The sequence below is a fragment of the Homo sapiens genome, chromosome 1 (assembly GCF_000001405.40).
Source record: "Homo sapiens chromosome 1, GRCh38.p14 Primary Assembly".
NCBI classification, from domain to species: domain Eukaryota; kingdom Metazoa; phylum Chordata; class Mammalia; order Primates; family Hominidae; genus Homo; species Homo sapiens.
This window is the reverse complement of record NC_000001.11, coordinates 113,152,812-113,164,851: the sequence shown is the minus strand read 5'-3', so window position 1 is coordinate 113,164,851 and position 12,040 is coordinate 113,152,812. Positions and strand designations below refer to the sequence as shown.

The window sequence follows — 12,040 nt, the reverse complement described above, 5'->3', positions numbered from 1 at the left end:
TGAGGCAGGAGAATCACTTGAACCCAGGAGGCGGGGGTTGTAATGAGACAAGATCGCGCCACTGCACTCTGGCCTGGGCAACAGAGTGAGACTCTGTCTCAAAAAGAAAAAAAAAAAAGTTGAATGTTACAAAAATCCAGTTAAATGGAGGGTTTGAGCCAGGGAAATCTCTAAGAATAAAGGCTGTACAATATTTTGTTGTCTTGAGATAGCTAAGGAAAGGGACATTGAACTTGAGGTCAGAAAACTTAGGCCTGAATTCCAGCTCTGTTCATCCTCACAACATCCTTGCAGGTTACATATAATTAGCCCTGTGTACACGTGGCCAGGTGAGCTGAGGCTGCTCCTTGTCCCACTTCAAAACAGACATACTTACAGGAACTGGGAAGGTGGCTTCTGCTTGGTCTTTGTTTTGCTGAGTGGGATACACAAGCTGAGGGTAGAGATGAACTGCTCTGGACAACAGAATGAGTTTTAAGAAGTTGTAGAGGTAAAAAAGAGAAACAAAATTATTAGCAGGGAAAAAAAAATGTGTGAGGCAAGATGAAGAGGAGTGGCTGATGAAGAATTTGGTTTAGTTTCTACTGTGTGGTATACTATATGTATCTTCTTCGCTATGTCTCCAAAAAGATCTAATTAATATGTTATGATTTGGAACTGATTTTGGAGGTGGACATCTGATGAGGAACAGATTGTCCAAGGAGATCCAGCTATCCCAGGGCTACAGAGAAGCTGATGTCCAGAGAAGTTCAGCTAACCATAGGACTATAGAGTGCTGCTGCTTTCCACAGATCTGACTACCACATTACTAGAGGCCTGTTTACTGCGTTTCCTTTTAACTAGTACATCATGTCGACCTTTCAGCAGAAAATTGCAAAGCATACTAAAAGACAAAAAACACAGTTCGAAAAGACAGAGCAAGCATCAGAACCAGAGTCAGATATGGCAGGAACATTGGAACTATCAGAACAGGAATTTTTAACACTATGATTAATATGCTAAGGGCTTTAATGAAAAAATAGATAACATGCAAGAACAGATGGGTAATGTGAACAGAGAGATGAAAACTCTAAGACAGAATAAGAAGGAATAGCTAGAAATTAAAAAAAAAAAAGTAACAGCAATGAATACCTTTGATGGGCACACCAGTAGACTGGACACAGCTAAGGAAAAAATTTCTGAGCTTGAGGATATGACAATAGAAACTCCCTAAATGAAAACCAGTCAGAAAAAAAAGATTTTGAAAAACCCAAAAAAGGATATCGGGAACCATGAGACAAATACAAACGGGGTAGCATAGGTAGAGTGGAAATGCCAGGAGAAGAAAGAGAGAAAGAACCAGAAGCAATATTTAAAGCAATAATGACTGATAATTTTTCACCCAACCACAGATCCAGAAATCTCAGAAAACAGCAAGAAGAATAAATGCCAAAAACAAAACAAAACTATACCTGGGCATATCATATTCAGAATTCAGAAAATTAAAGATTAAAAATAAATCTTAATAGAAGCCGGAAGGAAGAAAATAAACACCTATAGAGGAGCAAAGACAAGAATTATATCAAACTCTTGCCAAGTGCGGTGGCTCACGCCTGTAATCCCAGCACTTTGGAGAAGCTGAGGCAGGTGGATCACTTGAGGCCAGAAGTTTGAGACCAGCCTGGCCAACACAGAGAAACCCCATCTCTACCAAAAAATACAAAAATTAGTCGGGCATAGTGGCACACACCTGCAGTCCCAGCTACTTAGGAGGCTGAGGCAGGAGAATTGCTGAAACCGGGGTGCAAAAGTTGCAGTGAGCCCAGATTGCACCACTGCACTCCAGCCTGGGTGACAGAGCGAGATTCCGTCTCAAAAAAAAAAGAATTATGTCGAACTCTGACTTCTCACCAGAAACCGTGCAAGCATGAAGAGAATGAAGTGAAATATTTAGAGTATTGAGAGAAAAAAATTCACCAACTTAGAATTCTGTCCCTGTGAAATTATCCTTCAAGAGTGAAGGAGAAATAAACTTTCTCAGACAAACAAAAATTGAGGGAATTTGTTGCTGGTTGGTCTGCCTTGCAAGAAATATTAAAGGAAGTTCTTCAGAGGGAAGGACAATTATGTAGGTCAGAAACTCAGATCTATACAAAGAAAACAAGAGTATCAGACAATGAATAGGTGAAGGTAAAAATAAAAACTTTTATTTCCTTATTCTTAATTGGCCTAACAAAGAAGTTTAGTAAAAATTATAATAGCAACAGTGTATTTGATTATGCCTATATTATGTGCATATGTCAAATATATAGGCACACATAAATGAATATATATTATTTATTATATATGCTTATGTATAAGTAAAATGAATAACAGAAATGATATGAGGGATGGAAGAGAGGAATTAGGAATATTCCATTATTATAAGATACTTGCCAGGAAACCACCATGGCACATGTATACCTATGTAATAAACCTGCACATCCTGCACATGTATCCCAGAACCTAAAGTAAAATTTTAAAAAAAAGAAACATTAAAATATTTCTATTTTTATACAGAGGGAAAAAAAGATACTTGCCCTACTCATTTTATTTGAAATTAGACTTGGATTAGTTATAAATAGATATTCCAAACTCTAAGGCAACCAGGAAAACAAGTAAAAAAAGAAGTACAACTGACATGCCAAGAGAGGAGAGAAAATGGAATCACATAAAATGCTCTGTTAAAACTACAAAAGAGCCCGGGCAACATAATGAGACCTCATCTCTACAGAAAAAAAAAAAAAAAAAAAAAGCCAGGTGTTGTGGTACATGCCTATAGTCGCGGCTACTCAGGAGGCTGAGGCAGGAGGATGGCTTGAGCCCAGGAGATTGAGGCTACAGTGAGCTACGATCATGCCACTGCACTCCAGCCAGGGAAACAGAGCAAGACCCTATCTCAAAAGAAAAAAAAAAAAAAAAAAAAGCCAGAAAAAGTGGAAGACAAAAATAGGAACAAAGAACAAGGGCACCCTTCTACTAGAAATGGACAAATCCAGCAGGCAGAAAATCAGTAAGGACATAGATGAGCTCAACAACACCATCAACCAACTGGATATAATTGACATCTGTAGACTACTTTATCTAACAACAGCAGATTACACATTCTTCTCAAGCTTACATGGAACATTCATCAAGATAGACCACATTCTGAACCATAAAATACACCTTAACAAATAGAAAAGAATAGAAATTATGTTTGCTCTCAGACCACAATAAAATTAGAAATTAATAACAAAGATAGCTGGAAAATACCAAAATGCTTGGAGAGTAAGCAACACATTTCAAAATAACACATGGGTTAGAGAATAAATTTCAAAAGAAATTAAAAAATATTTTAAGCCAAATGAAAATACAACTTATCAAAAGTTGTAGGATGTAGCATAAGCACTGCTTGGGGAAAATTTATAGCATTGAATGCATGTATTACCAAAAAAGATATATCTAAAATCAATAATCTAAGTGTCCTCTGCCTGGGTGACAGACTGTGTCTCAAAAAAATATTAAAAAAAAACTAAGTGTCCACCTTTGGAAACTAGAAAAAGAGCAAATTAAGTCCAAAGGAAGCAGAAAAAAAGAAATAATAAAAATTAGACCAAAAATTAAAGAAATTGAAAACAGAAAAGCAATAGAGAAAATAAACAAAGCTAGAAGCTGGTTCTTTGTTTTTGTTTTTGTTTTTGTTTTTGTTTTTTGAGACAGTCTTGCTTTGTCGCCCAGGCTGGAGTGAGGTGGCATGATCTCGGCTCACTTCAACCTCCGCCTCCCATGTTCAAGAGGTTTTCTTGCCTCAGCCTCCTGAGTAGCTGGGACTACAGGCACGTGCCACTGCACCCGGCTAATTTTTATATTTTCAGTAGAGACGGGGTTTCACCATGTTTGCCAGGCTGGTCTTGAACTCCTCACCTCAAGTGATCTGCCTGCCTTGGCCTCCCAAATTGTTGGGATTACAGATGTGAGCCACCCCACCCGGCCTGAAGCTTGTTCTTTGAAATTATCAATAAAATCAGTAAGTATCTAGCCAGACTAAGAAAAAGAGAAGATTCAAACTATTAACATCAGAAATTGAAGATGAAACATCACTATAGATCCCATGGACATTAAAAGAATAATATGAACAATTCTACACCCACAAATCTGATAACCTACATGAAATGGACCAATTTCTTGAAAGAGATAATCTGCCAAAACTTACACTGGAAAAAAATAGACAATCTGAATATATCTATTAAAGAAGTTGAATAAATAATTAATAACCTTCTGAAACAAAACATGACATGCCCAGATGGGTTAATTGGTGAGTTCTACCATACATTTAAGGAAAATTTATACCATTCCTCTATAGTCTCTTTCAAAAGACGGAAGTAGAGAGAATGCTTGCTAACTCATTCAATGAGGCCATTACCCTGATATCAAAACCATCACAAGAAAAAAAAAACTTTGAACCAATATTTCTCATGACATGGATACAAACATTCCCAATAATAATTAGCAAATCAACTCCAACAATGTATAAAACTAATTACACACCATGACCGTCTTAGTCCATTCAGGCCGCTATAACGAAATAACATAAACTGGGTGGCTTAAACAACATTTATTCTTACAGTTCTGGAATTTGGGAAGTCCAAAATCAAAATGAAAGCAGATTTGGTGCCTAGTGAGAGCCAGCTTCCTGGTTCACAGATGGCCATCTTTTTGCTACATCCTTATATGGCAGAAGAGACAATGAAGCCTCTGGGGTTTCTGTTTTAGGGGCACTAATCCCATTCATGGGGGTTCTGCCCACATGCCCTAATCACTTCCCAAAGCCCCATTTCCAAATACCTTCACATTGAGGATGAGGTTTCAACATAGGAATTTTAGGGAACACAAATATTCAGTCTATAGCCATGACCAAGTGGGATTTATTCCATGTATTCAATGCTGATTTAACATTCAAAAATCAATTAATGTAACCCATCACATCAACTGGCTTAAAGGAGAAAAATCACATGATCATATCAATAGATGCAGAAAAAGCATTTGATAAAATCCAATGTCCATGCATAATTAAAAAAATAATAAACCCAGCGCAAACTAGAAATAAAGGGTAATTTCCTCAACTTGATACACATCTATAAAGAAACCTATAGTTAATATCATACTTAATGGTGAAAAACTTAAAGCTGTCCTGCTAAGATCAGGAAGAAGGCAAGGATGTCCCCTCTCACCATTGTGTTTCAGCATTGTACTGGAAGTCCTAACTAACGAGACAATAAAAATAAGTAAAAGATATGCAGATTGGGAAAAAAAAAAACTGCCCACGTTCACAGATGACATGATTGTCTATGTAAGAAATCTGAAAAAATTGACCAAAAAAAAAAGACTCCTGGAACTAATAATTGAGTATAACAAGGCTCCAGGATATAAGGTTAACATACAAAAGTCAGTCACTTTCCTATATACCAACCATTGCTGATATGACAAGTAAAATTTGAAATTAAAAACACATTACCATTGCATTAGCACTCCCCACAACAGACCTATCAGGGGACCTGCCCTGATAATCATGTAGGTTCTTTTCTATTTTTCCTAAGCGTCGACCGGCTTGAGAAATAAAGGGACAGAGTACAAAAGAGAGAAATTTTAAAGCTGGGCATCCAGGGCAGCCATCACATATTGGTAGGATCCGTGATGCCCCACAAGCCACAAAAACCAGCAAGTTTTTATTAGGGATTTTCAGAAGGGGAGAGAGTGTGCGAATAGGTGTGGGTGACAGACATCAAGTACTTAACAGGGTAATAGAATATCACAAGGCTAGTGGAGGCAGGGCAAGATCACAGGACCACAGGACTGAGGCGAAATTAAAATTGCTAATGAAGTTTTGGGCACCATTGTCATGGATAACATCTTATCAGGAGACAGGGTTTTGAGATCAATGGGTCTGACCAAAATTTATTAGGCAGGAATTTCCTCTTCCTAATAAGCCTGGGAGCGCTATGGGAGACTGGAGTGTATTTCATCTCTGCAGACTCGACCATAAGAGACAGGTACGCCCCGGGGGGCCAGTTCAGAGACCTACCCCTAGGTGCAGATTCTCTTTCTCAGGGATATTCCATGCTGAGAAAAAGAATTCAGTGATATTTCTCCCATTTGCTTTTGAAAGAGAAATATGGCTCTGTTCTGCCCAGCTCACCGGCAGTCAGAGTTTAAGGTTATCTCTCTTATTCCCTGGACAATTGCTGTTATCCTGTTCTTTTTTCAAGGTGCTCAGATTTCATATTGCACAAACACACATGCTGTACAATTTGTGCAATTAACGCAATTATCACATGGTCCTGAAGCGACATACATCCTCCTCAACTGACAGGATTAAGAGATTAAATTAAAGACAGGCATAGGAAATCACAAGGGTATTGATTGGGGAAGTGATAAGAACTGACTTCCCGCAACAGAGACCCTTAGATATAAAAATGCTTATGTATAAATTGTATATGTAGGTATTAAAAAATGAAATCAGTATAAATTATATTCAAAATCTATGGAGGAAAACAATGAAATTCTGATGAAAGGTACCAAAAAAAAAACCTAAATAAATGGAAAGATAGACTATGTTCATGGATAAGAAGACTTAATATTGTCAAGATGTCAGTTTTTTACAATTTAATTTGTGGAGTCAACACAATCCAATCAAAATACCAGCAAGTTATTTTGTGGATGTAGATAAACTGAGTCTAAAGTTTATATGGGGAGGCAAAAGACACAGAATTACCAAGTCAATATTGAAATAAAAATCAAAGTCGGCCAGGCACAGTGGCTTACACCTGTCATCCCAGCACTTTGGGAGTCCGAAGCAGGCAGATCACTTGAGGTTAGGAGTTCAAGACCAGCCTGGCCAACGTGGTGAAACCCCATCTCTACTAAAAATACAAAAATTAGCCAGGTGTGGAGGCGGGTGCCTGTAAACCCAGCTACTCAGGAGGCTGAGGCACGAGAATCACTTGAACTCAGGGGGCAGAGGTTGCAGTGAGCCGAGATCCGCCTCTGTACTCCAGCCTGGGTGATAGAGTGAGATTCAGTCTCAAAAAGAGAAAAAAAGAAAAAAAGAAAAAATCAAAGTCAGGGGACTGGCATTACCGAACTTCAAGACATAGTACAAAACTACAGTTGTCAAGACATTGTGGTATTGGTGAAAGACTAGACAAATAGATCAATGGAACAGAAAGACAGCCCAGAAATAAACTCACATAAATGTAGTCAACTGATCTTTGACAAAAGAGCAAAGGCAATACAATAGTGCAGAGACAATCTTTTAAAAATACGTCAGAACAAATGAACATATATATACAAAAAACAATCCATTTTTATTTTTTGAGACAGAGTCTTGCTTAGTTGCCCAGGCTGGAGTGTAGTGGCATGATCATGGCTTACTGCAGCCTTGACCTCCCAGGCTCAAGCAATCCTCCCAATTCAGCCTTCCAAGTAGCTGCGACTATAGGCGTGCACCACCATGCCCAGCTAGTTCTTTAATTTTTTTATAGAGACAGGGTCTCCCTATGTTGTCCAGGCTTAAAAAAAAAAGAATCTAGACACAGCTTACATCTTTCACAACAATTAACTGTAATAGATAATAGACCTAAATGTAAAACACAAAACTATAAATTTTTTAGAAGATAAAAGAAAAAAACCTAGATGACCTTGGGTATGGTGATAACTTTTAAAATACAACATGAAAGACATAATCTATGAAAGAAATAATTGATAAGTTGGACTTTATTAAAATTAAAGACTTATCTTTGAAAGACAATATCAAGAGAATGAGGGGCTGGGCACAGTGGCTCACATTGTAATCCTAGCACTTTGGGAGGCTAAGGCAGGCAGATCACGTGAGGTCAGGAGTTCGAGACCAGCCTGGCCAACATGGCGAAACCCTGTTTCTACTAAAAATACAGAAATTGGCTGGGTGTAGTGGTGCGCACCTGAAATCCCAGTTACTTGGGGGGCTGAGGCAGGAGAATTGCTCAAACCTGGGAGGCAGAGGTTGTAGTGAGCCAAGATCGCACCACTGCACTCCAGCCTGGGTGACAGAGCAAGACTCTGTCTTGAAAAAATAAAAAAACAAAAACAGAATAAGGAAAAAAGTCATAGACTGGGAGAAAATGTTTACAAAAGACACATCAGATAAAAGAACGTAATTCAAAACTTACAAAGAACCCTTAAAACTCAACAATTAAAAAAAAAACAATTTAAACATGGGCAACAGACCTGAACAGACACTTTACCAAAGAAGATATACAGGTGGCAAGTAAGCATATAAAAAATGCTCAAACCAGGTGTGGTGGCACATGCTGTTATAGTTTGAATATTTGTCCCACCTAGATCTCATGTTGAATTGTAATCCCCAATGCTGGAGGTGGGGCCTGGTGGGAGGTGTTTGGATCATAGGGGTGGATCCCTCTTGGCTTGGTGCTGTCTTTGTAATAGTGAGTTCTCATAAGATCTGGTCATTTAAAAATGTGTGGCACCTCCCCAATCACTCACTCTCTCTCTCTTGCTCCTGCTCTGACCATGTGATGTGCCTGGTCCCCCTTTACCTTTCACCATGATTGTAAACTTCTTGAGGCCTCCCCAGATGCTGAGCAGATGCCAGCACCATGCTTCCTGTAAAGCTTGCAGAACTGTGAGCCAATTAAACCTCTTATCTTTATAAATTACCTAGCCTCAGGTATTTCTTTATAGCAATGCAAGAATGGCCTAACACGTGTCTATAGTTCCAGCTACTCAGAGGCTGAGGCAGGAGGATTGCTTGAGGCCAAGAGCTCAAGGCTACAGTGCACTGTGATTGTACCTGTGAATACTGTGAATAGCCACTGCACTACAGCCTGGGCAACACAATGATATTCTGTCTCTAAAGAAAAAAGGGAAGGAAGATGCTCAACAAGGGCATATTTTCATATGCCATTCAAAAATTACAAATTAAAACATAAACAGATAGCATTACACACTTATTAGAATGGCCAACCAAAACACTGACAACATGAAATGCTTATGGGAATGTAAAATGGTACAGCCACTTTGAAAGACAGTTTGGGCTGGGCACAGTGGCTCACGCCTGTAATCCCAGCACTTTGGGAGGCCGAGGCGAGAGGATCACCTGAGGTCAGGAGTTCAAGACCAGCCTGGCCAACGTGGTGAAACCCTGTCTCTACTGAAAATACAAAAATTTGCTGGGTGTGGTAGTACATGCCTGCAATCCCAGCCACTTGGGAGGCTGAGGCAGGAGAATTGTTTGAACCCAGGAGGCAGAGGTTGCAGTGAGCCAAGATCGTGCCACTGTACTACAGCCCAAAAAAAAAAAAGACAGTTTGGCAGTTTTGTACAAAACTAAACATAATCTTACCATATGATCCAGCATTTTGTACTCTGTGATATTTACCCAAAGGAGTTGAAAACTTAAGTACACACAAAACATGCACACAGGTATTTATAGCAGCTTTATTATGATTGTCAAAACTTGGAACCATCTAAGATGTTCTTCAGTAGGTGAATGGATAAACTGTGGTGCATCCAAACAATGGAATATTACTCAGCATTAAAAAGAAATAAACTATCAAGCCATGAAAGGACATGAAGGAAAGTTAAATGCATATTACTAGGTGAAAGAAGCCAATCTGAAAAGGCTACATTCTCTATTATTCCAACTATATGACATTCTGTAAAAGGCAAAACTATGGAGACAATAAAAAGATTAGTGGCTGCCAGAGGTGAGAGGAAGAAGGGGATGAACAGACAGAGCATAGAGGATTCTTAGGGCAGAGAAACGGCTCTGTATGATAACACAGTGGTGGATACATGTCGTTACACTTTCGTCAAAACCCACAGAGTGTACAACACCAAGAGTGAACCCTAATGTAAACTATGAACCTTGGTTGATAATGATGTGCCAATGTAGGTTCATAGATTGTAACAAATGGACCACCCTGGGGCAGAATGTTGATAGTGGGGGAGGTTGTCCGTGTGTGGGGATGGGGGACATGGGACATTTCTGTACTTTCCATTTAATTTTGCTGTGATGTAAAAACTGCTCTAAAAATGTTTATTAATTGAAAGAAATGAAGGAAAAGGCCAACAATGAAAAGAAAGTTTTTCTCTTCCCTATCCCTAAGTGACCCAGTTTCTTCTCCTGCCACCCTCAAGTCACTCACTGTGACCAGTTTCTTGAGTATTCTTTAAAGATATCCTTGGTATTTACATATATGGCCATGTTCTTTTGATACCACAGTTGCCTCCCTTAGGGAAAAAGAATGTTTGGAGTTAACCTGAGGGAACAATTCCTTCCCTCAACCCTCTGTATGCTTCCTTTAAATTTTTGAAGCTCAGATACCAAATGGAATATAATGGAGTATGTTTTTATGTTTCCTGGGAGTTGGTGAGGTGTACTGAAGAGCCTGGCATCTAACATCTGTTGGGACTAAGTTCAAATTCATACCTACGGTGGGTGACTTCACCTTTCTGAACCATTTCCACCTCTGAAAAATGGAGGTAATCATCCCTACCTCCAAGGGCTGCTGTGAGGATAAAATAAGAGAATGAGGGGGAAACATCTGCCACCCTCCTTCCTTTCCCTCCTACAGTTTCTCCAATGCTTTTTAAGAATAGAGAGAAAAGGAAAAGCAAATTCCCAAAATCTACACGCTGTGTAATGATTAGCTTTGACCTAATTCTACTTCAAAATGTTTCCTTCTCTTACCCCCCACTACCTCCCACCCAGATGCCTAGTATAAAGAACTCATGAAAACTTAGGCCAGATGGGAACCTGGAATATTAAAGCCTTTGAGAAAACATCTGTTTGTTCATTTATTACCATGTTTTTGCTTCTGTCTTGTTTGGTCATAAGAGCCTATGGGGAAGTCCTTTGCACTTTAGTCTATACAGGGCTCTTATATCCTTCATTTTACTTCGCAACTCTGTGAAAAAAGGAGAAAACTGAGGTTCAGAAATCAAATGCTTCGGCTAAGAGGCATCTGGCAGAAACGGGGCTAGACCCAAGTTCTTCTCACTGGTTTCCTTGCCTTTTTCTATCTCTAGTTGGCTTTCATGCGTAATCGCTACTGCATCAGTTAGGATGCATTTGGCTGCAAGCAAGAGAAAATCCAAGTCACCCTGGCTCATGTAACTGGAAATCCACAGATTCTGTGGCTTCAGAATGAGCTTAAGGCAGTGGCTCTGCTCTCTTCTCTGCTCCTCCCTTGCTTTCTCCCTCCTCTCTGTGTTGGCTTTTTCCCCCTCATAATCTGGCCCTGCTGTATTACATTTGTCTTTTTGTTAGGTATCCAGCATTCCCCCGAATTCCAACTTCAAATTGTTGCCTTAATTTCTCTTTTGGAGAAATTGTCACTTGTGTAATGCCTCCCTTATGCTGTGGGGCTGAAGTGGTCAGATCATTCATCTCCCTGGCCCCCAGCTTGTGGGGAGAAGGGGAGTGATTCACAGCCTTGGCCAATTGGAGGCTCTCTGCTAGACTTTGAATCTTGGACAAGAGCCAGAAGGGCAGGCTGCAACAGTGCCCAGGCCCAGGCATTTCTATGGGGCGGTGCTGCTTGCAGCTCCATTGCCTGACCACTGAAGTCCTTCTGGCTCTTGCCCCATTTTCCAGGCCCAGCTCTTCAGCTTCTCCCTTGTGGATTCTGGAAGCCTCCACTATTCTGCCAGTAAATTTCCTCTTTGTTCAAGACGGCCAGAGACATTTTCTATTGCTTGCCATCAAGAACCCCAATCATACCATGTACCCAGCAATTCCACTCCTAGGTAGGTACCCAAGAGAAATGACAGCATATCTCCATATAAAATTTTGTACACCAGTGTTCATAGCAGCATTCCTCGTGATGGCAAAAACAAACAAACCACGTGTCCATTAACTGATACATGGGTAAATAAAATGTGGTAGGCTGCAGGTGGTGGCTCACGCCTGTAATCCCAGCACTTTGGGAGGCTGAGGCAGGCAGATCACCTGAGGTGGGGAGTTCAAGACCAGCCTGAC

General features: G+C 39.8%; 1 annotated feature.

Moving 5' to 3' along the window:
- Positions 5,515-6,360: an enhancer, noted in NCBI's record as "OCT4-NANOG hESC enhancer chr1:113701114-113701959 (GRCh37/hg19 assembly coordinates)". NCBI's record gives its function as "activates a minimal SCP1, AML or CMV promoter by ChIP-STARR-seq in primed H9 embryonic stem cells {active_cell/tissue: H9 hESC(primed)}" and the evidence as "EXISTENCE:reporter gene assay evidence [ECO:0000049][PMID:30033119]".